Source organism: Homo sapiens, chromosome 22, assembly GCF_000001405.40.
Source record: "Homo sapiens chromosome 22, GRCh38.p14 Primary Assembly".
NCBI lineage: Eukaryota > Metazoa > Chordata > Mammalia > Primates > Hominidae > Homo > Homo sapiens.
In genome coordinates, this window is record NC_000022.11 from 33,809,773 (window position 1) to 33,835,104 (window position 25,332).

The following is a 25,332-nucleotide window of genomic DNA, read 5'->3' on the forward strand; positions in this document are numbered from 1 at the left end:
AAATATTCAAGATCAGATGCATATTTTACACTTAAGTACATCTCAATTGGGGTGCTAAATTTTCAATGACTGAAGTGAAATAGTACCTCCAAAACCAGAAGCTTGTGTTAAAAAAAAAAACAAAAAAACTTTACACTGCTTCACTTTTTAGATGTAATAAAGATTTTACAATTTGCAGTTCAGTTCCTCAGTGGTACTAGCCACATTTCAAGCACTTGTAGTTATAGGCGGGTGTTGCTACCACCCAGGAGAGCACAGAAAAAAAACTACAGTAGTCTGCATGCAACAGACACCAGATCTCTCACTCTGAACAAGACACAGCATGGGGGATGGGAAGAGAACTAACATTTATTATGACAAAATTATAAAACTTTTCAACCCATTATCTCATGGAATATGTAACAATCCTATAAAATAGGTATTGCTGTTTTCACGTTTGCAGGTAAAGAAATTGGTTGAGAGAGTTTACACTGACCAAGATCATATAGCTAGCAAGTGCTGGTCAGGATCTGAACCAAGGACTGGCTGAACCCAAAGCCATAGCCCGATACTCTTGGTCCCACAGTACTCTCTGGACCTCCGCTGAAGGCAACAAAATCTCCCTCTTGACTCCCCAGAAGCAAATTACATAAGGCACATGAATCCAAGATTCTACCATGGTGTGGTGGTTCTCATATTGTTCACAAATATCAGCTCTTCAGCTCTGAGCACATCAAGGTAGAACTTCTCTGCCCCAGAACAGCCATGGGACCTACTCTGGCCAATGAAATACGAATGCATGCAACTCACTGCAAGCTTTAAGAACCATTATGCGCCCTTTTCTCTCTATCTTAAGGACTAGCAAGAGTACTGATAGAGACTGCCTCACTATCAGGATCCCAGAGTGAAGACAGCATGCAGCAGTGCCATGAGTAGCCTGTGATGGACTTGTAGTACAGGGTGAGGGATGAATTTCTTTTTTTTTTTTTTGAGATGGAGTCTTGCTCTGTTGCCCAGGCTGGACTGCAATGGTGCGATCTTGGATCACTGCAACTTCCGCCTCCCGGGTTCAAGCAATTTCCCTGCCTCAGTCTCCCAAGTAGCTGGGACTACAGGTGTGCGCCACCGTGCCTAGCTAATTTTTGTATTTTTAGTACAGACGGGGTTTCACCATGTTGGCCAGGATGATCTCGATCTCCTGACCTTGTGATCTACCCGCCTCGGCTTCCCAAAGTGATTTTTTTGTTCTATGCGAGATTTGTTACTGCAGCATAACCTAACCTGCCCCCGACTCATATAAACATGATTAATGCGTGAGTGGAAGATGGGTAAATTGGGTGTTCAGGGAAAAGTGGGTGATTCTGAGCTCTTGCTTATGTTAACTGCAATAACCCTGCAGTCTGCTCCTCCATAAAGTCAGTCAAAAGGCTATTAGACCACCAGCTGTGGTGGGGTCTGGTTTCATCCCTACTGGTATTACTGTATTTCTTACAAATAGCTCATTAAGGCAATTATCAGTCATTAGCACAGTAGCCTGAGCAACAGTACAAGCACACACATTAATAAAACATAATTTAGCAGAGCAAGTAAAGACATGAACAAACTAGGCTCCCTTGTGGGACGCTCGTGGCTGAAGAGAATTTCCACTACACTAAAGCCAGGCACTCTGGAGAAGTATGCCAATCTCAGCACCTCTTAAGTGATCATTTGCATGAGCTTCAGTTCAACCAACAAAACCTGAGTCTTGAAGGATTACTAGGAGTCTGACAGGGAGAAAAAGTTAACAGCTTTCCAAGGAAAAAAAGATTTCCCAAATATTCGCAACGTGGAAGAGCATGCTGTATTTAGGAAGTGGTAAAATCATGATTTGGTATATAGAGGTGGGGCCCAAGACCAGGAAAGAAGGCCAGAGCCCAACTGGGAACAGCTTTATTACGTCACGGTAAATTGTTCAAACTTTTTCTAGAGGCAAGAAGAAGTAATCAAAGAGGCTCTAGCAGGGAATGTCATGAGCTGCTCTGAGCCTTAGAAAAGTCATTCTGGCAGTATAAGAATGATGGATTAGGAGACACAGGAAGGAGGAGGCCGGAGCATCAGCTAGTGAAATACTTCAGGCCAGGGATAATGGGAGCCCAGCCCAGAACTGTGACAAATGGAAAGAAAAAGACCAGAACACAGGAAATGGGCTGACCCGGGCTTAGCGCTCAATTGCATGACCTAAGTAAGAGAGGAACAAGGAAAGGGGAAATTGGCTACAGAAAGTCTCTAAGGATGACTGAGATTTCCACCTTGGGTATATAACAATGCATTAAAAGGGACTACTGGAAACTAATTTGACAGGTTCAACCCAGGTGGCAAATGCAGAAAACGATTAACAACATGTACACACAGACATTAAAAACTCATTTATTTTCCCACTCAAGGGCACTTAATAGCTAAGGTTCCAGGAGCACATGCCCCAAAGGGCTGGACCATGAAGTTAGGGCTATGCTAAGCTCCAGGTATGCTCTAAAACATATTGGGAATTGTGCCTGGCCTCCCCTGCCTTCTCACGGTTCTGACACAGCATCTCACCTGCCCAGAACTTGTGACAGTCACTTGGCTTCATTTTGGACGAGGCTCTTTTTGACATGTAATGTCTTCTATTCGTTACTTCCCCCAGACACATGCACAAGTGATGACTCTCTCTTTGCATACTGCGGTGCCTTTTCTCTTCATTCAGGTCTCCTAGGAAAACTGAGATTCAAACCAGAGCCTCCTGCTGTGCATTTTCCAGCCAGGGTGCATTGTCATCAGTGAGGCCTCACTCAATCACACATTCATCTTTGATCCGCCGGGTTGAAGGCACAGATGGCGCAGGCCTCACCAGGCCATCCTGTCCATCTATCAGTCCCTCTGCAATGATCCCCTTGGGGTTCTGGGCTATTACCAAGTTTCCCTTTGTGTGGATATTTCATTCCATAAGCACAGTCAAGCCTCAACAGCTGTCCAGGCCAACAAAGATCAAGAAGTTTCTTCACAGTTTATTTGCTCATTCAACACACAGGTACTATGCCCTGACAACACGCCAGGCCCTGTGCTAGACAATGAAGCACAGAGATGAAAACTGTCTGTCCTTCAAGAAGTCCATAGCCTCCTCAAGGAGACAAAGATATTAAAAGACAAATAAAACAGAGATAATTAATGCAACTAGCACTGTTTGCTTTCTGGTTTTCTCCTATTAGGTGGTACCAAATTGGCATATGAATACAGACTATTCTCTTAGTATTGGTTTAAATGGTGGTATGAAGTACATCTACTGCATTAAGAAGTGCCACTCTAGGCCGGGCGCAGTGGCTCACCCCTGTAATCCCAACTCCTTTGGGAGGTCAAGGCAGGTGGATCATCTGAGGTCAGGAGCTCGAGACTAGCCTGGCCAACATGGCAAAATCCCGTCTCTAGTAAAGATACAAGATCGTGCCATCACTCCAGCCTGGGCAACAAGAGCAAAACTCCGTCTCAAGAAAAAAAAAAAAAAAAATTAGTGCCACTCTAAGAATCAACAAGCTTCCCCAGGCAAGACTGTCAAGCCCTAGTCCTGAGAAGCTTGTGGAAATAAATCAGGATTGTATGCTCTTTTGTTCATCTCCGATAGTCAAATGCCACAAGACCAGAAACAAAACATAGTTCCAGCAATGTCCCACACACACATCTTGGTGGAGGACAGATGTGTCTGACATCTGGGATCTCTTCTGCTCAACGGCCCACCAGATACATAAAACAGAATTGAGAATGGTGACCATCCATCTTCAGAAATGTTGAAGTCTTACTCATTCCCATTTGGACACAACCATTGAGGAACAACATACAGCTTCTGTTCGGCCTCGGCTGTGGGCTCGATGACAAAACACTACTGCAGGATGTTCCATCTTTTCTGCCTAGTAAAGATCTCATGGTGAAATCCATCTTCACAGTGAAGACAGGAAGCCCAGGTACCCTTGAACTCCATCCTTTTCTCCATCTTGACTGGTATCTCCAGTTTTTCCCAAACTCTTGCATTCTACGATGCTCCCAACTTCAGCCTTAAATACCTTATAGGAAAATCTCCACATAAGAACAAACGTCACATTAGAACAACTCAATGAACACTGAACAAACATGCAAGGAGGGAAACAATTATTTACTGAGTGTTTAAATCATGCCAGAGATACTCCACACTCTTGCAACAAGCCTAAAACGTAAATATTAATTTTTCCTGTTTAGAGAAAAAACTTTAAAAAGCATCACTGAAGTTAACTTACGTATCTCGATGGGGGAAGAAAGACATGCTGAGGCCAAGAGTGTAAATCATATCTCGTCTCCAAAATTAATATCCTTTCCATGACATAGTATTCACTCTTGTTCGACCATTTCAAATTCCAGAATGCTCTCCAAGAAAGGCTAGTCAGATGGACTGTCAACCTCTTCTAAGTGCCTCTATCACTCAAATCATTCTCTTCAACCTGACCTCGCCCCTGAAAATCTATCCCTAAAGCTAAGACACTGAGCACATGTCAGGCAAGCAAATGATGCTTTTCCAACAGTCCCCAATAGGGCCCAACAGGGTCAAATACTTTGGTTCCTGACATATCAGTAACAATAATAATGACTGTGATGGTTAGTTTTATGTTTCAACTTGGCTAGGCTATGGTCCCCAGTTACTTAATCAAACACTGTCCAGGTGCTCTGGTAGTTATTTTGTAGATGTGGTTAATATCTACAATCAGTTGACTTTAAGTAAAAGAGTCTATCCTCAATTGTATTGATGGGCCTCATCTAATCAGCTGAAGGCCTTAAGAGGAAAAACTGAGTTTTCCTGGAAGAGAAATTCTGCCTCTGCCTCAGGACCACAGCTTCATTTTCTGCCCAAGAGTCCAGCCTGCCAGTGTAACCTACCCACAACTTTGGACTTAGCCCTACGATCACATAAGCTAATTCCTTAAAATCAAGGTATATGTGTGTGTGTGTGTGTGTGTGTGTGTTTATACAACTACACCATCCTATTGGGTCATTTCTCTGGAGAACCCTGACTGATACTAACATATGCATAATGTAATTTCATACAGGCTATTTGATACTCACAACAGGTCACCTATGTAAGTATGATCGCCTTTTGTTCAAGTGAAGAAACTGCAGCTCCCTGCCTGCAGCGAAACAACATGTGCAAGGAACACACAGACATTAAACGACAAGGCCATAATTTAGACTCATATCTTCAACTCAACATGGTATGCTGCTTTCCGCAAGACACACTGCCCTCCAAAAGTCACCATAATTCCTAATAAGAATAGCCCAGTAAAGGAGGAGATTTAATGATCTGCCACTGAATATATCTAGAAAAACAGTCCAAGGAAGATGCAAGCCCACAGCCCAGCCAAACTGGTTCTTCTCACTTTTTGTTGGGGCGGCACAGTCTGGCAGCCTAGCACGTTCAGTTTCTCCCAGGACAGTAGTGAGACCAAAGGAGAACTGAAGAAGGGCAGAAGCTAGAACTTCCTCCGGTCCTCATCACCTCGTCTAAGCCAGAGACCTCACAGTCTGCACCCTTATCATTGTTGTCCAGCTGTTCAACGTGAATGGCAAAATCATTGCTCTTCATTAATTCACTGGAAGCCTTCATGCAAACCTCATTAAGAGGCACAGTAATTGTTCTGTGAATATTGCCCATTTTCCAATTATGTTCCTTTCCTCATGCGGGGAGAATGTGCCATCAGAGAAAAAGCACTGGGTTGCCTTCATCTGTTTTAAAATAAGTGGTTGAGGGACTGGCTTTTGATGGTGGCTTCTACAACCAGAAAGGACTCTTCAGCCAAGAACCATTCTTAGTAATCTGATAGTGTGCAAAGTGCAAACATCTGTCTATCAACCCAGCCCAGGGACTCACACACCTGGGCTTGCCACTTCAGGGAAGAGACTGCCTGGCCATGAGTTCTCAGCAGAGAATTGTAGCAAGGATCTGAACTCTGTCTTTCTGTGAACCACACCGGAAGGCATGTATGTATTCACATCCATGCAGACGGCTCAGCAGAGCCCTGTGAGTGTGCAGTCTCATGCATCTGCAGAGAACCAGAAAGGGTTTGTGGGGAGAGTAAAATCACGAGGAGAGGTGCCGTGGAAGTAAGAGATTCAGCTGCTGAACCATTTGCAGATCATCATAAGTACTACTTATGAGACTATCAACTGTTCATCACCTCCAAAAACACAGGCAACCCTCCTGAGTCCAATTATCTCCAAACTTTTCCTCTTTCGCATTCAATGTTGTCATTAAATAAGCAAACAAAGACATGGCCTGGTGTTCTGATGCCCACACTGTTTTTACAAATAAAAAAGGTCTAAGAGTGATGGGAACTCCAGGCCTGACTCAGCGAGCAACCTCTGTGGGCTGCGGGCGAAGAAATGAAGAGCAAAAATTCATCCATGAACAGGGCAGGACAGCATCTGGATTTTCATGCTTGGTTTCATCCTCCATAAGCAGTCTGGCTTCCAGGTAGGTAGGCAGACTCTTAATTTGTTCAAGTTGTTAAAACAAAATGCCACCGACTAGGTAGCTTATAAACAACAGGCATTTATTTCTTATAGTTCTAGAGGCTGGGAAGTCCAAGGTCAAGACAACAGCAGATTCAGTGTCTGGTGAGAGTCTGCTTTCTGTTCACAGATGGCCGTCTTCTTGCTACGTCCTCACATGGTGAAAGGCTCCCTTGTGTCTATTTTTAAGGGCACTAATCCCACTCATGTAGGCTCCACCCTCAAGACCTCACTGCTCAAAGGCCCAGCTCCTAATACCCTCACACAGCAGGTTAGATTTCAGCATACAAATTCTGAGGGGGTGTAAACATTCAGACCATAGCAGGCAGGCAGGCGGGAGGGCGGGTGGACATACAGACAGACGGATGCACGGATGGATGGATAGATAGATAGATAGACAGACAGACAGACAGACAGACAGACAGACAGACAGACAGACAGATACAGAAAGACAGATACAGACAGACAATGTTTTTGGGGCCAAGATTCAAATTCAGGCATATCTGGCCACCAAAATTAATATCCTTTTCACAACGCAGTGTTCATTCTCAATCATTTCAAATTCCAGGATGCTCTCCAGGAAAAGTGAGTCTAACGCACTGCCAACCTCCTCTAAGTGCCTCTCTCACTCAAGTCATTCTCCTCAACCTGACCTCACCCACCACAATCTGCCCCTACAGCTAAGACCCTGGGAAGTCGGGGTGGAGGGGTGCATGTATATACAAACACACACATATACATTTATATGTGTATATATGTGTTTCTATACATACACACATGTGTATACGTATATAGACATACATACATGCATACACATATACATACAATCAAATATATACACTGGAGGCTCGGCAGTTTCCCTATGGTTCGCCTCTGCCAGGCACACAAGTTTCTTCACAACCTGGTGCTTGCCAACAGCCTTGTCTCCCATCTAGCCCCTTTGAAGGCACACATTTTCAAAGTCAAATATCAGTAGACTTGCAGGTACTGACACCTCCACTTAGAGGTATTTAAAGCACTTGTCTATTAGATACTTTCTAAGCCCTTTGCATATATATAAATTCATTTAATGCTTGAAATAGCTCTATGAGGGAGTCAGTACTGCCACCCCATTTTACAGCCATAGACAGATCACTCGTTTGTGTTTCTCTCTCTCTCTCTTTCGCAGGGGACCCGTGGGGCAGACCCCACAACCTTCATGGCTGCATACCCAGCACGCTATCCATTGTTCTCCTGACAGCCAAGCCCAATCCACTGCAGAAAAGAGTGTTTGGGTTGTTGCACATCCAGATAAGAAGGGACCACAGAGAGGTAACAGCAAAAGTCTAGAGCACAGAGCTGCTCGAACTGGACTCAGCTGCCTGGTGAAGTTGGGGGCAGGGAAACTCATGCTGGCTAAACAGCTGTCTAATAAATCTGCCCTAGCATCACAGACAGGCTCTCACCGATATTAGCATTCAGTAGTACACCTTCTGTTGGCAAATGCTTCATTGTCATTTTTATTAGTTATGCCTTACAACTTCCCCGCTAGGTCAATATTATCAAGGGGGTCAGCGGTAAGGTAGGACAAAATCATTATCCACTCATGATAGATGGAGAAGCTGAAGGAGGGAGGAAAGGGGGAGGAGAGGGAGGAAAGGGGGAGGAGAGGAAGGAAGAACAGGGTAGCATGGTGGTGCAGGCAGCTTCACACTGTGGAGGAAGGGCCTTTACAGGCAGATGACCTAGGTTCAGACCCCAGATCCACAACTAATTTAACCTTGGACAGGTTCTATGCTTTAGTTTCTCTCCTGTAAAAATGGGGATGGTTCATGTCTCCACCCTTGGATTAGGCACTGGTCCTCCAGCCACATGGTAGCTCCTTCTCATAGGGCTTCTTGAGACTCACACCTTCCCATCCAGCTGTGCCCCCTCAAGTCACTTACCAAACCCTGCTGTCTTCAGTTGATTCAGGGCATGGGTTAAAATCCGAAATCATCGTATTTGCTTATAGTTTGTTTGTAGTCTGTCGCTGCAAGGAGAACATACACTCTACAAGGACAGGAACCCTATCAACTCACTCAGGGATGTCTTTCCAGAGCCTGATAAATTGTAGGTGTTCAATGAATATTTTCTGAATAAATATAGGACAGGGGAAGGAAGGAAGAATAAGAGGGAGAAAAGAGGAGGGGAGGAAGTTCATTCAGCAGCTGCACCAGCTTGTAACTGACCTGAGAGAAAGAAGGGGGACTGTGGCCCTGAGAAGAGCCCTAGAAAAAGGGAGGTTCCCAATCAGTATTTGTTGATAGCCTGTAAAAGCCTAACTTTTCCCTCCTGAATAAATTAAAATTGTTCCTTCTGCTTCTTGAGGGCAGCCTCTCTGTATCCTGCCCTGCTGTGCTTCATGGACCAGAAGAAATGATACACAGCAAATACCTACCGAACAATGAAAACAAAGCAGATTTGCCTGTGATTTTTGTTGGTTGTTAAACACTTTAGACACCCAAGGACCAGGGAGCCCAGTGGCTTTTTCGAGGCAAATTGGCAGGGTAAGAACTCAGCAGGGCAAGAGTCCAGGACTTCCCCCACCTTCAGGAAGTCTGTACACTGTGGTCTCCCTTGGGTGGGCTGAAAGTTCTATTAGTCTCTCCACAACTAGATTCTGATTAGGGCTGCAGGCTACACCGCATTCCTATTTCCCAGCACCATCCCAGAAACGGGTGCCTAATTACTTGGGCACATGGTATGTGCTCAATAAATACCAACTGATGGCTGATTTATCATCATGCTCAAAAACAACTTCAAAGGCCACCAGTTTGAGGAGGACTGGATGGAGTGACGTCACCAGCAGCCCAGTCCCAGATGTCAAACCACTTCAGAGTTCACACGGGCTCCTGGGGGCTTTGGGATCCAAAAGTATGGATCACAACAGCCAACTTTTGTCAGTCCCATCATCATATCTCATTATGTCTTCTCCCAGTGGTGTGTGAGTACAAAGCTCTTCATTGCGCTAATATTCTACAAAGTTCATGGCAGAGCTGAAAAATGAGCTATTCCACACATATGAATGCTCTGGATGACATTTTTAAAGTTCAGACCTTCTGGTCACAAGCTCTATCCCTCTGCTGTCCTCTAACAATCTCAGGTTTTTCTCCCCTTGCCAACTACGTCACCATCCAGGGCAACTCCAGCAGGCCTGTGGCTATCCATCCACAGGCTGTTTCACCAAATCCTTAATTTCCCTGATACCAACAAACCTCCCCACCGAGCCTCCTTAGCACCAGCTCCAGCCCTTGACATCATCTAAGGGTTGAAGTCAACTGCCTTGACTTCAAATAATTAAGTTACCTTTATTAATTACCTAATCCCACTAAATCCACCTCATTTAATCCCCACCTCCTCAACCACCCTTTCCACTTTCCCATGGGGTGAAAGACTGCCCTGAATCTGAACCTTGCCTACTCCATAAAAAATCTCTGTAACCCTAAGGAAATTTGTGTGTTTCTAAGAAACTCAGTTTCTTCTCCTATACTCTGGGCCATTTGTGGACAGCTAGCTGTTCACCAAAGCCTGGGCACAGGATGAGACACTTCCTAGCCTCTATACAGTGAGGTGTGACCATGTGACCAAGTCCTAGCCAGTAGGACATGTGCAGCGTGATGTGGGCCCTACCCGCAGGTAATGCCCTCTGCTGGCTGGACATCAGTGTCTAGAGCTTGCATGTGGATGGTCCAGGGTGTTTCCTTAGGCCAGGGTCACTGTGTGGAGCAGAGACACCTCCCCTGCTTTCACTCACCCCACATAGTTACTCATTCTGTGAGTGCAAAATAAACATCCCGGGTCATTATGAATTTGGGGGTCCATTCAGCCTGCTTTAACTAATGTACCATTCTTCCTGCCTAAAGGAATAGTTATGCTGATTAAATAATGAAAATTTGCAAAACCCCCCATATAAGATCTGACATAAGGCCTGACAATAGATGTTTTTAATTTTTCTTCCCTTTATTTTCTCCCATAGCATATTGCCATAACTTCTATTCTCATTTTATGTTTATTAATTTTTTTAGAGACAGGGTCTCACTTTGTCACCCAGGCTGGAGGGTAGTGGCACAATCCTAGCTCGCTATAGCCTCAAACTCGGGGGCTCAACAGATCCTCCCACCTTAGCCTCCTGAGTACCTGGGACTACAAGCGCATGCCACCATGCCCGGCTAATTTTTTATTTTAAGTAGAGATGAGATGGGGGTCTCGTGGTGCTGCCCAAAGTGGTCTAGAACTTCTGGCCTCAAGCAATCCTCCCGCCTCAGCCTCCCGAAGTGCTAGGATTATAGGCTTGAGCCACCATCCACAGCCTCTCATTTTAAAGTGTTGGAGCTAAATACTATAGGATAAAATAAAGAAGAAAAATATTAATCACACAGCAATTATATTGCCAGGCCCTATACTTCCTCTCTACCCCAATGCTACCATTTGATTCACCACCTTCTCATTCATCGTGGCACCTGAACCAGGCTTGCTATATCCACACTTGCCCTTTTCTTCTAGTCCTTGTCCCTGCTGCTGCTCAGGAGACACATGCTGTCTAACCAACCTCCAGAGGCTCCTCCTGGGCTAAGTGCACCACCCCCTCTTCTGCCTCCCACATGGCTCTCTGTTCCAGGGTAGCTGACACCCTGCACCAACACAATACATTTACTCGTCAGTTTCACAACCCTGGACTGCAAGCTCCTTGAGGGCAGGAATCTTCCTTAATCACCACCGTATCTATTGCAGACTTCTCTTTAGTCACCAGGGATACAGTGGTGAAGAGAACAAACAAATATCTCTGTCCTCCCAAGATTCTCCTCCAGTTTAAGAATCTCTAATTGCTTCATGGCTGGCAGATGTTGTGACAAAGGCAGAGAGGGCATTAGGAGAATCCCAGCTTCACCCACAAATGCTGTCACTTCCTAAGCACAGACGATGTTGGTTATCTTCTCCAAGTCTCGATGTCTTCATCGTTACGAAGTTAGAAAAAAATGGCAGCTACTGAGGGCTACTGTAGGGTCAAAGGAGATGGTGCAGCCAAAAAAAAAGCTTGGAACAGTGCCTGACACACAGCAAGCAAACACTAGTTTACCTCCCCATCCTGAAATGATAAACTCCTAGAGTGCAGAGGCCATGACTTACACTTCTCATTCTTTCCCCACCATGCCTTACAGATATAAACCACGTCTGACAAATGTTTGTCTGACTAATGAGATGGTAAGGATGTCCAAGAAAGTGAGCCAAAGGTATTTAGAAAGATTTCTCTCCACCAGCCTGCGTAAAGAGCGTCTAAGAGCATGCCGAGAAGGGGAACAGAGTGGAGGTAACAGGCAAGTCTGCTCCAATGATGACTTGTACCCTCCTTAGCCCCAATCAATGACTCCCTTTGACCACTGAAGTCCATATTTTTCCCAGCAGAAAGGTGTGTGCATGTATACATACATGTGTGTATATGCTATCAAAGGAGTTCAATTTTCAATACATTATTGGAAATCTTCAACAATCATTATGATGGATAAGAAAAAAATAGGAACAGAGGAATTAGACTGAAAAGCCTGCCCAAGTGCATTAAAAACTTCATGTGAAGGAAATGGAAAACTATAAACAGTGATGTCCCAATCACTCAGGTTCCGTTTAAGTGACTTTTTTAGGTTTTTTTTTTTTTTTTTTAAAGAGCTGTTTCTATTGCGGGTATATTTAGTTTTAACTAAGTGAAAAGATACTTCCCTGATCTTGTAATCTATAATAAATATATTCTAAATTTTTCTTAATGATCCCGGTTAATTATGTATTCCCAACCTTGGCCTGATGCCTGGTATAGGCACTATGTAGCATTAAATCTCACTAAGCTGCCAACAGCACTATGTGTGCCCTTGGGAGCTACAAACATGTCTGGACAATCAGCCCTACCCTATGCCATGGTTCCATTCTGCCCCAGTTTGAGTTCTTATAGCTGGTAGGCAGGGCTTTCCTATACTTCTCTTAGAGGTCAGATTGTCACTTCTTGCTCAGGTTTCTGGCCGGCATCTGAAGTTCCCCTTTCAAATGCACTGTTGTGCTGATCTCCCATAGCTTAGAAATGCAAATGTAGCCCAGGCACAGTAAGAGCTTAGAAATGCAAAGTGCAGTGGCTCATACCTGTAATCCCAGTACTTTGGGAAGCTGAGGCAGGAAGATAACCTGAGGTCAGGAGTTCGAGACCAGCCTGGCCAACATGGTGAAGCCCCATCTCTACTAAAAATACAACCATTAGCCGGGGTGGTGGCAGACGTCTGTAATCCCAGCTACTCGGGAGGCTGAGGCAAGAGAATGACTTGAGCCCAGGAGGCGGAGGTTGCAGTGAGCCGAGATCACGCCACTGCATTCCAGCCTGGGTGACAGAATAAGGCTCCATCTCAAAAAAGTAATATGAATTAAAAGAAAGAAATGTAAATGTAAAAAGCTGGTCAGAACAAAGGGGAAGTCGTTAAGGCTATCAGAAATCCTCTGGTTTCTATCCTTCCAGTCACACGTAGGAATGATCTTCCTCAGCGCCTGGAAGTGAGCAGTGGCCATGTAACTTGCTTTGGCCAATGAACTGTAAGCAAAAGCCAGAAGTAGAACATGATCCCCCAAGTTCCAATTTCCTCTGGCCACAGTGATCTATGACACTCCAGCTAGTGGAAACACCAGCATCCCAGGGTATAAGTTACCTGGGGAAGAATAAAACACCCCACCTATACACCTACCACAGATGAATGTGTTGCACAAGAAATAAATCTTTGTTATTTCAACCACACAGAGATATCGGGGTTGTCCATATAAATAGCACAACCTAATCCATCCTGACAAATATAAATGATGTATTAAAAAAGAATAACAAGTCATGACTCAACAGTCTAGAGGTCTTCCCATGAGAAAAATTCATGAGCTTCAACACAGACCATAGCACATACCTTGGCTGCCCAAAGGCTGTGTGTCTGTGTGTGTGTATGTACACATGTATAAATGCTTTCACAGCATCATGGTACACCTGTTAATGCTGGCTTCCTTGCCTGTGTAATAAGCTGCCCAAGGACAGAAGCCTTATGTTTTCATCCTGTCTTCCCAGAATCTGATACAGTGCCTGGTACAGAGTAGAGGTCAATAAATATTCATCTCAGTTAACCATCTTGCTATCTATCAGGAAGTAAAAAATAATTACAATAGCTTATCTAAGTTTACATGGAACTTGTAACTGGAAAAGGAAATGAGGTCCAGCCACACTTCCAGAACACAGCCTCACGCACCCCTCAGATAGGTCCGACGACATGATTTGTCCCTGTCCTTGCCCTCCGCATCTGAGGACACAGCAATGACTCATCCCTATACACAGTGTGACTGTAGACAGATGCATCTGCACACAGCCAATGACTTCTCCTGCCCATTGTGCCTTCCCCATAGATAGTGAGGAATTTTCCAGCTAGGCCCATTTATGGAGAGAGCTCTTTCTGCTGCCCTTTGGGGTCAGGATATCTTTGTTCGAACTGAGTCATCTGCAGTTCATTCCTCCATGCTGTCCTGTTTAAAGGGCACGTCTCGATACAGGGCTTCACAGTTACCCGAGAGCACCACCCCACAGCCCAGTGATGGTTCATTCCTCATTTGCCCTGTTAAGTGTCTACCAGTTAATAGTAATTATTGCCATTAGCTGAGTGCTCAGTAACTTCAAGCCATCATGGTAAGTACTTATATTATTATCCCATCACATCCTTAGAACAATCCTTTAAGGCTGATATCATTATCCTCATTTTACAGATGAGAAAATGATAGACCCAAAAGGTTGATGCCACATGCCCGATTGAGTTTTGCTAACATTTTATTGACCAACATTTCTTCATTATATGTATTTCCCCAAGTCCATGATTTACTATATTAGTCCAGTCTCACACTGCTATTAAGAACTACCTGAGACTGGGTAATTTATAAGCAGAAGAGGTTTAACTGACTCTCAGTTCTGCAAGCTGTACAGGAAGCATGGCTGGGAAGCCTCAGGAAACTTACAATCATGGCAGAAGGCAAAGGGGAAGCAAGCATGCCTTCACATGGTGGAAGGAGAAAGAGAGAGCAAAAGGGGAAATGCTATACACTTTTAAACAATCAGATCTTGTGAGAACTCATTCATTATCACGAGAACAGCAAGGGGGAAGTCCACCCCCATGATTCAATCACCTCCCTCCAAGCCCCTCCTCCAACACATGGGGATTACAATTTGACAAGAGATTTGGGTGGGGACACAGAGCCAAACCATATCACTTACACACTCATTCATGTTATTCCTTTCACCTGTAGACATTCATTGAGGACCTGTGCTGGAACCACATGACCCCCACTCTACACACGAGGTTTATATTTAACCACAAAATGGTGACTCCAGAATTTAAAAATATGACCAATTATAAAGTCCAAACATTTTCTAATAATAGTAGCATGTAACTCATAGGACTATAATGAAAATGAAATGACTTAATACAAGAAAAGTGTCAAGAGAAGTACTGGTACACGATATGGCTTCAATAAATGTCAGTTTATAACACTGAATATAATAACAGCTATTGTCCAGCAACATATTTTTGCACAGTTTTGGGGAAGAAGGGACAGACACAGGTGGTCAGCAAGGGCCAAGTATAATGCTATGTTCTACTACAGCTCATCCCAGGAACACTTTGGGTCTTTGTTTTCTTATTTGCAAGATGAGGGAAGTGAATTTGGTCATCTCCAGGGACCAGTCTTAAAATGCTATGATTTGTCATTCCAGCAGTTGATCAGTCGATGAGCAACTTAAAGACTGAGCTTCTCAGACAATTCCCCCAGTTTGCTCTGCAGAGAATGCTGGCTTCTACTACAAAGCACTATGGAGGAGCCCCAAATGACTTTGCATTATGAAGGAAATCCTTTGTAAAGGAATGTTCCAGAGAACAGTTTGTTCATTTCAGAATACGGATATTTATCCAGTCCCCAAATATGGGATGGGGTATTAGTCTGTTCTCACACTGCTAATAAAGACATACCCGAGACTGGGTAATTTATAAATTATAATAAAAGACATACCCGAGACTGGGTAATTGCTAATAAAGACATACCCGAGACTGGGTAATTATAAAGGAAAGAGGTTTAATTGACTCATAGTTCAGGGTGGCTGGGGAGGCCTCAGGAAACTTACGATCATGATGGAAGGGGAAGCAAACATGTCCTTCTTCACATGGTGGCAGCAAGGAGAAACGCTGACCAAAAGGAGGGAAAGCCCCTTCTAAAACTATCAGATCTCGTGAGAACTCACTCACTGTCACCACTAACACAAGGACAACAGCATACGGGTAACTGCTCCCTTGATTCAATTACCTCCCACTGTGTCCCTCCCATGACACTGGCGATTACACGAACTACAATTCAAGGTGAGATTTGGGTGGGGCCACAGCAAAACCATATCAGATGGTGACAGAGAGAGGGAACGAAGCCCACTGTGGCTTTTTCCCACTACCCATCAATCCTGACTCCAACAGAGACTGGAAGCTGCTACATTCCCCAGCTGCAATTAATAAAACAAAACAGCAGGTGTGGATGTGGGAAGGCGTTATAATGGAGGGACAAGGCTGGGAGACAGAAACTGCCACTCTTGAGTAAGAGCACAGAGCTGGGGAGGGCAGTGCTGAAGACATACATCCTGCCAGGAACCTCAATGCCAAGGACAGAGAGACCCGCTGTCCAGATCACATTTCAACACAGGAGTGTTCACTTCTGTCTTTTTTTAATATAGTGGTAAAATTCCACGTCTGCTATAGCACAAACGGTGGCTTAAAACAACAGAAACATAACTCTCTCACAAGTTTGGAAGCCAGAAGTCCAAAATCAAGGTGCTGCAGGGCTGTGCTCCCTCCAGGGACTCCAGGGAAAACACATCTATTACTCGACTCTTGCAGCTTCTGATAAGTGCCAGCATTCCTTGACCTGTGGCTGCATGACTGCAGTCTCTACCCTCAGGGTCACACTGCCTTCTCCTATGTGTTCAATCTCCCTTTGCATACCTTTTTTTTTTTTTTTTAAGATGGAGTCTCGCTCTGTCGCACAGGCTGGAGCACAATGGCGCAATCTCGGCTCGCTGCAACCTCCGCCTCCTGGGTTCAAGCAGTTCTCCTACCTCAGCCTCCTGAGTAGCTGGGATTACAGGCATCCACCACCGCACCCGGCTAATTTTTGTATTTTTAGTAGAGATAGAATTTCACCATCTTGGCCAGGCTGGTCTCAAACTCCTGACGTTGTGATCCGCCCGCCTCGGCCTCCCCAAATGCTGAGATTACAGGCGAGAGCCATCAACCCGGCCTTGCCTCCCTCTTATAAGGAGACATGTGATTGCCTTTAGTACCCACCTGGACAATCCATGCTTCTCTCATCTCAGGATCCTTAACTTAACCACATCCACAAAGGGTCTTTTCCTATTTCCAAATCAGGGAACAGCTACAGGTTTCAGGAATTGGAGCCTGTTATCATTGGCCTACAATAGTTCTCATCTTAACTCATTTTTTAAAAAAACAATAAAAAAAAATTTAACCCTTTAAAACAGATAAATGAGAGTCAACACCCATCTCACCCTAGAATATCCAAGCTGGAAATAGCCTTAGAAATCAGTTAACCCCAGCCTCCTCCACCTGAAAAGGGTCTGGGATGGAGGCAATTCACCCCGGATTACCCAGAAGATGCAGCCTATCAAACAAAAGCTACTTTTATCAATGCTTTCTCCTAAGACATTTAAAAGAGCTCACTGGACCGGGCACGGTGGCTCACTCCTGTAATCCCAGCACTTTGGGAGGCCGAGGCGGGCAGATCATAAGGTCAGGAGATCGAGACCATCCTAGCTAACACGGTGAAACCCCGTCTCTATTAAAAATACAAAAAAAAAAAAAATTAGCTGGGCATGATGGCAGGCACCTGTAATCCCAGCTACTCGGGAGGCCAAGGCAGGAGAATGGCGTGAACCCGGGAGGCGGAGCTTGCAGTGAGCCGAGATCGCACTACTGTACTCCAGCCTGGGTGACAGAGCAAGACCCGGTCTCAAAAAAAAGAGTTTACTGAAAAGAAGGTCCTATTACCCTCCTCGCCCCTCTGTCCCCCCGCCAAAAAAATACACATAAACTTTTGGCACATGGACTGCAAAAAATGAGACACATCTTTACAAAGGGATATAATGTACATTTAAAAAGCAATTCTGGGTTAGCCCCGAAAAGTGGAAATAAGTGCAAAAGTTCTGGCCTGAATTCACTCCTGGACAATACGAACTCACATCTGTCCCATCGTGGCCAATGCGGGAGCCACAGAGGGCGTGTGATGAGAAGAGGCATCACATCAGGGCTGTTCTTTTCGAAGAAAAAGCTGACATCGTGGTGTAGAGCCAAGTGGGCCCGTCACGGAGACTGGGAAGGAAGCTACTTCCACTGTCTACTTCAGCGGTTCCCAAACTTTAGGAACATCACTGTCACCTGGAGAGCTTTGTTCAAACAGATTGCTGCCCTCCCCTCAACACCTCCTCCCCTAGAGTTTCGGATTATAGAGATCGAGGGTGGGATTGGATAATTTGGATTTCCAACAAGTTCCCAGGTGATGCATACTGCAGGGCTGAGAAGCACAGTTTGAAAGCCATTGTCCTATGGAAGACTTAGCCCAGGGAGCAGAAGAACTAGAATAAAAGAGATGATATCAGAGAGTATTACAGAAATTGCTAAGATTTGGGCAGATGAGAAGAAATGAGATGGCGGAAGGGGACAAAGGTGTATTCACCAGAAGAGACGCAGTGTAAAGGAAGAATTCTCAGGAGGGGAGAAGATGAGCTCTGCACTGAAGATGCTAAGTTTAAAGGTGCCAGTAGGACAGATGGGGTAATTCACATACCAAGGGAGTAAGTTGATCCATGAGAAGAAGCCACAGAACCTGCAGGTGACCTGCCTTTGAAGGGCAGGAAGAGAGACGCTGACACAGGTGATTGGATGGGAGTTCTTAAAGAATCCAGGGCATCCTGAGAGAGTCCTCTTCAAGGAAGGCAGACAGAAAGGCTTCTAAACAAGGAAGGAGATGGTCAATGGCATGAAGTGCCACTGCAGAGTTCAGAAAAGATGAGGATAGAAGAAAGGTGCTTAGATCTGACAACTAGGTCATCAACAGCACACAGCAGCAGCTTGTGGGAAGGAAGCCAGGTTTGGGTGGCAAAGCTAAGAAAGTGAAAACTTTAGCCACAGGCTCTTCTTTGAAGCCTAGTGATGAAGGAGGAGTGAGAAGTAAGCGACGTTGAGAAAGACAACTCTGAGGGTACCTTCCATGCCAGCACCCAGCACCCCTGTGGTTTCCCCAAAGGAACACACTGAAGTCTAAAGTCCCAGTCCCTAACGTTGTGCCCAACACCAATGTTAGCTTCAGTAAAGAATTACTAAATGAATGCATGCATAAACGGATGAATGAGAAAACATAATAATGCTACAAGAAGAGAAGGAAAAAAGTTCTTTGTGCATAAATTTGGTGTATAGCATTCCCTAGCTTTACTCAGCCACCACAGCCTCCTTGCTAATCAAGGTCCGTGTACTTGCTATTCCCTCTCGCTGGAATGTTCTTCCTCAATTATCTCAGAGGCTCGCTTTCTCACTTCATTCAGTGCTAGATCAAATGCTACTTTCTCAGAGATGCTTTGTGAAGTCTCTTTTTCTTTTTTTTTTTTTTTTTTTTTTGAGAGAGTCTTGCTCTGTTGCCCAGGCTGGAGTGCAGTGGCGTGATCTCGGCTCACTGCAACCAACTCCTCCCACGTTCAACCGATTCTCCTGCCTCAGCCTCCCTAGTAGCTGGGATTACAGGCACGTGCCACCGTGCCTGGCTAATTTTTGTATTTTTAATAGAGACGGGGTTTCGCCATGTTGTCCAGGCTGGTCTCGAACTCCTGACCTCAAGTGATCCGCCCACCTCAGTCTCCCAAAGGGCTGGGATTACAGGTGTGAGCCACCGCACCCGGTCTTGTAGTCTCTTTTTCTAAAACAGCATCATCCCACCCTTCACGCATGGCCCAGAGAGCCTCTGACCCCACTACCATTAAACTGCCATATTTCCCCTTCTCACCACTCCATGCCACCTGACGTATTTCATACCTATTTGTTTGTTTACTATAAGATCCACTGGGACAGGGCTTTGCTTCGCTCATTCCTGTATCCCCGGTGCTTAGTACAGTTCCTGGCACACAGTAGGTGCTCAATAAATATTTATTAAGTGAATGAATCCACTATATTACCTCTCAAAAATTCTCCCAGCCTTAATAGTTCCTTTAATGGTTCCTGGAGGAATGTGCTTGAACACTGGAAGGCATGGGGACTACTAAAACCCCTCCTCCTCCCTGCACCTGCACTGCAATCAGATGAAAACTGATGACTGGCAGAAAAATCCAGCCACCATCTGGCTGTTCAAGGACCCCTCCTGGGTGCTAACAGCATTGCCATTCAAGATAATGAAGATTAAAACCAACAGTGATCCAGGGGGACAGGTCCTCAGGAGGCAGCCCGGGTTGGAGTTAACCCATTCTGAGCCAAGGAGCTCCCAGTCATCCTAAGAAGAAACCACCATTCCCTACAAGGGTGAAGGCAGGAGGCAGACCAGGCCCCTGCTTGAGAGATTATAGATGACTTGTCCAAGGAAAGGATGAGATGGAAGCAAAAGTGCTTTGGCAAGATAATGTCTGTGGGAAGATGAGGAATTCTCTCACAATGACAGATGTAACATACCATGTGCCCACCAGTCAACAAGGTCCTTTGGGCCGGGTGCCAACCATGCTCTCTGCTCATTTATTAAAGCAACCGTGTGTGCTCCCACCGTGACACCCAAGGCCTGAGACCCATGGCCACTCTGTCTTCAAGAGACACTCCATCTGTAAAATTTACAGAGAGACACTGTCCAGCTAAATCAAATTCCATAAGCAAATGCTGACCACATTTGATTATAACATAAAACTTAGGGGAGCTCTACAGTGAAGAAGAAACCAACACCATGCAGATGCCGAGGCAAAGGGAGCTGGCTGCTGTCGAGTTCTTCCTTCCTTCCAGCTCACAGGTGAAGGAATTGTCAGGGACACATTTCCTCCACGAGAGGCAGGAGGAAATGGTTCAAAGCTGACTCTTGTGCCAGATGGCCTGCCTTTGAACTCCAGCTCTGCTACTTATCAGCTGTGTGACCTTGGACAATTTATTGAACATTTCCCTGCCTCAGTTTCCTCAAGGGTGAAATGAGGATGCAACAAGTATCTAACTCCTACGGTTACTGTGAGAATTAAACACACCTCAAGCAAAGCTGATACAAGCAAGCTTATAGAGACTGGAAATGATGACAATGGCGGTGGTGGTTGTTCTCTTGGCCCACTCAGGCTACTTTAACTGAATACCATAGACTGGGTGGCTTATAAACAATTTCTCACAATTCTGGAGGCTGAGAAGCTTAAGATCAGGAAGCAGCAGATTCAGTGTCTGGTGAGGGCACCCTTGCTGCTTCACAGACAGCAGTCTTCTTGCTGTGCCCTCACGTAGAAGAAGAGGTGAGGGAGCTCTCTGAGGTCTCTTTATATAAAAGCATTAATCTCATTCATGAGGGCTCTGCCTTCATGACCTAAGTGTCACCTAAAGGCCTAAACCATCACCTTGAAAGTTAGGTTTCCTATGGATTTTGCAGGGGCACAAACATTTGGTCCACAGCAATGTAGACGACAATGGTGGTGATGACGATGATACTGCTCACATATTAGCAGATATTATTTTTTTCTTTTTTCTTTTTTTTTTTTTTTGAGACGGAGTCTCGCTCTGTCGCCTAGCCTGGAGTGCAGTGGCACGATCTCGGTTCCTGGCCTCAGGTGATCCACCCGCCTCTGCCTCCCAAAGTGCTGGGATTACAGGCATGAGCCACTGCGACCGGCTCATTAGCAGAGATTCTAAGGGTTCACAGGCAAAGTTGCGACACAAAAAAAGGAGTGTCAAGGAAAGAATTCGTAAAAAGTCCCTTCTGATCTTGCATGTGCGTGCATACATGCACCCCCCCTCTGCTTTGCCTTCCTGTTCCTCCAGAACACTCTGAAGACAGGAAGCCAGGGCCTGGAGAGCTGGAAGATGTCAGGTGAGAGGGCGGGGAGCCCTGCCGTGAGGACGGAGTGGGAGGCTCATCGGAAGCTGCCTCTTCTCCTCTTGCCCTAGGACCGATGCCTGCCCAGGTCCCTAAGTGGCCCCTGGGGCCAGAGGAGCACTCTCAAGCCACTCACAGTGGCTTCCCAAAACCAGCGATTGGATTGGAAAAGTATTCCTAAGTTTTTAAAAAAAGATAACTGGACAAGAACTTGCAGTTTGCAAACTCAGACATAGACATACCACTAGCAAACAGTGGAAGCTACAGGGTCAGGTCCTAACACAACACACACACATGCATGTACACACACACACACACACACACACACACACACACATACACATACACAGACTTGAGCCTCCAAAGAGGATAACGTTCAAGCTGCTTGGCCTAGCACACAAAGCCCCTCCCAGCCTGGCCCAGGCGTAATCCCGAGGCAACCACTCCACCTTTCCAAGTCGTAAGCTTCTGGACATGGGTAGTAACAGCCCTAGAATAATGCTCTCTTTCACACCTCAAACGTTTCTCACCTTTCTGTTCCTGCAGTTCCCACTGGCTGCAAAGCCCTCCCTTCTTCCTTTCACCCAGCTAACACCAACTCAGCTTTCAAGATTCAGGAATCAAACATCTCCCTGGAAGCCTCTAGTCAGTGGCCCCTTTCCTGGGCTCCCATAATACCGTGCTTTTCTTACTGGAGTACCTTCAGCATGAGTCCTGGCACCTATCAGTCATAATGACCAGATTCCTAGGAAGCTCAAACATGCAGAGCTCACTTAGCTCGAGCTCCAGAACCAGAAGACAGCACACAGCCATCTTCCTCTCTCATGTATGGAGTCCCATTCTCATCGGTGAAAAGTCCCAGACAGCAAAGCCCAAGCCCGAGGTACCCTGTGAGCTCTGTCTAAAGAACAAGACAGATCAGGAACAGAACTGAGAGGGAATGGAGGTACAGAGGTCCAAAACACAACTGGAGGGCCCATGGGACAAACTCGAGCCTTAACACACTGTCAGTGTTAAGGGACAGTGCTGTCAGTGCTGTCAGTGACCAAGGGAGCCTGGACCCAGAGCCCCCAGGCTTCACGCAAGCTGTGGCTTGGACCCTCCAATACAGGCCTCAACAGCATGGAAGTCAGGAAGGGTCGATTAAGATGCGGCAACCCCAGAGGGCTCGGAATCAGCTGACTGTACCCACTGTGCATAGGCTGTTTAAGCTGCAGCCCCAGACTTGCTACTGGCTGGGGCTCCCAGCTGCCAGCAAAAAGATATCTTCCCTGGGAACCGGTCCAGCTCAGCAGGCAAGAGAGCACAGAGCCTGACACTGACTCTGGCACATGCTGTGTGGTCTGGCACATGCAGTTAACTGGAACTCTGGACTGAGGCCCAGGATCTATGTCCAGTATACAGTAAGCACTCAATAAGTGCTAAATGTTATTAGACGACTGTTGTTGGACTGGGCCAGACATGGCCTGGCAGGCACTACGGGCCCATCTGGTCTGAGGTGTGGTGACTGCCCTCAGGTGGGTAAACACAGGCCACAGTGATTCAGTAAGTCTCAGAGGCACCTGTGCCTTCATCCTTCGGGAGAACTGCAGGATGCCCCAGTGCAGGGGTGGCAGTCAACTCCAGAACCCCAAGAGCACTGTGCTCACCAAGCAGATGATGTCTCAGCCTGTAGAGGTAGCTGACTTTTATTTATGTTTACCTTTTATTACATTATCTCCTCAATTAGATTTGAAACTAATGTAATACTGAAACATCTGAATGGCGGATTACCAATTATAAAGTCTAATCAAACCAGTGACCCTCGGTTACAGGCTTAACTGTGCCTCCCCTAAAATGCATATGTTAAAGTTCTAACCATCAGTACCTAAGAATATGATTGTATTTGAAGACAGGATCTTTAAAGAAGTTATTAGGGTAAGATGGGAATGTATGAGTGGGCCCTAATCCAGAATGACCAGTGTCCTTATAAGAAGAGGAGATAAGGATACAACACAGAGGGGAAACCATATGAAGGCACAGGAAGACAGCCTTCCACAAGCCAAGGAGAGAGGCCCTGGAAGAAGCCAACCTTGCTAACAACTTCATCTTGGACTTCTAGCCTGCAGAACTGTGATAGAATATATTTTTATCATTTAAGCCACCCAGTCTGTGGTACCTTGTTACGATAGGGCTAGCAAACTAACACACTAGGTGAGGTCAGTCTTTGTGCACAATTATTGTCATTTTTATTTATTTATTTTTATTTTTGTTTTTGCAGATGGAGCTTCACTCTTGTTGCCCAGGCTGGAGTGCAATGGCGTGATCTCAGCTCACTGCAACCTCTGCCTCCTGGGTTCAAACGATTCTCCTGCCTCAGCCTCCCAAGTAGCTGGGGTTACAGGCATGCGCCACCACGCCTGGCTAATTTTTTGTATTTAGTAGAGACGAGGTTTCACTATGTTGGTCCGGCTGGTCTCGAACTCCTGACCTCAGGTTATCCACCCATCTCAGCCTCCCAAAGTACTGGGATTACGTGCAATGAGCCACCATGCCCAGCTCAATTATTGTCATTTTAGCAGAACACTGGAATTCGGGGAAGCTGAATAACTTACTGGAGCCACTCAGCCACCGAGTGGGAAAGCTGGGATTCAAGGTAATAAAGCCTGACTCCTTCTATCACCAAGAATATAATACTTACTCAACTAATATTTGTTTAGCATCTATTATGTGATAAGGTCTTTTTAAGGGCTAAGGATACTACAGCAGCCAAAACGGACAAAATTTCTTCTCTAGTAGAGCTTTCAGACAAATAGGGAGCAAAAATAATCATAATCAAGAAAATATAAAATATGTACCTGTCAGGCCTCTGAGCCCAAGCTAAGCCATCATATCCCCTGTGACCTGCACGTATACATCCAAATGGCCTGAAGTAACTGAAGAATCACAAAAGAAGTGAAAATGGCAGGTTCCTGCCTTAACTGATGACATTACCTTGTGAAACTCCTTCTCCTGGCTCATCCTGGCTCAAAAGCTCCCCCAGTGAGCACCTTGTGTCCCCCACCCCTGCCAGCTAGAGAACAACCCCCTTTGATTGTAATTTTCCACTACCTACCCAAATCCTATAAAACAGCCCCACCCCATCTCCCTTCGCTGACTCTCTTTTCGGACTCAGCCCGCCTGCACCCAGGTGATTAAAAAGCTTTATTGCTCACGCAAAGCCTGTTTGGTGGTCTCTTCACACGGACGCGAGTGAAAGTACCTTCGGCAATAACTGGAGGGTGGTAGGAATATGAGCAAGTTTTCTTTATCATCCCATTCTATAGTTTTTACTATAAACATTTAAGATGAACAAAATTTTCTTTTAAAAAAGCCAAATGGTAAAAGTGAATTTTCAAGAGAGCACTGCTCACTCCATTCACTGGTCTTTAAGTTTATGAAAAAAATCAGGCAGAGGCAAGTCATGAGCCCCAAGGAAAAGTTTCTATCATGTTAATATGCCTCAGCGACAAAGCTACAGCTTTAGAAATGATACAGTTAGCATTTCCCATGCAGGATAATTTTTGCTCTAAAGTTTGAGGCCAAAGCTATTTCCAAAGAATAACCATGTTCAGAGAAATGGATTTTGTTTCTCTTCACCCAGATGAGAATTCACACAATGGCTAGCACTCTCCACCA

The 25,332-nt window shown here is 45.4% G+C and overlaps 1 protein-coding gene across 22 annotated transcripts in view, besides 1 other annotated feature; it reads right to left on the reverse strand.

Moving 5' to 3' along the window:
• LARGE1 (LARGE xylosyl- and glucuronyltransferase 1) overlaps window positions 1-25,332 on the reverse strand; it is an 856,162-nt gene that overhangs the window by 743,110 nt on the left and 87,720 nt on the right. The window lies entirely within an intron of this gene.
• Window positions 10,168-10,237: a silencer, noted in NCBI's record as "silent region_13646". NCBI's record gives its function as "represses an Ori minimal core promoter by ATAC-STARR-seq in GM12878 lymphoblastoid cells {active_cell/tissue: GM12878}" and the evidence as "EXISTENCE:reporter gene assay evidence [ECO:0000049][PMID:35858748]".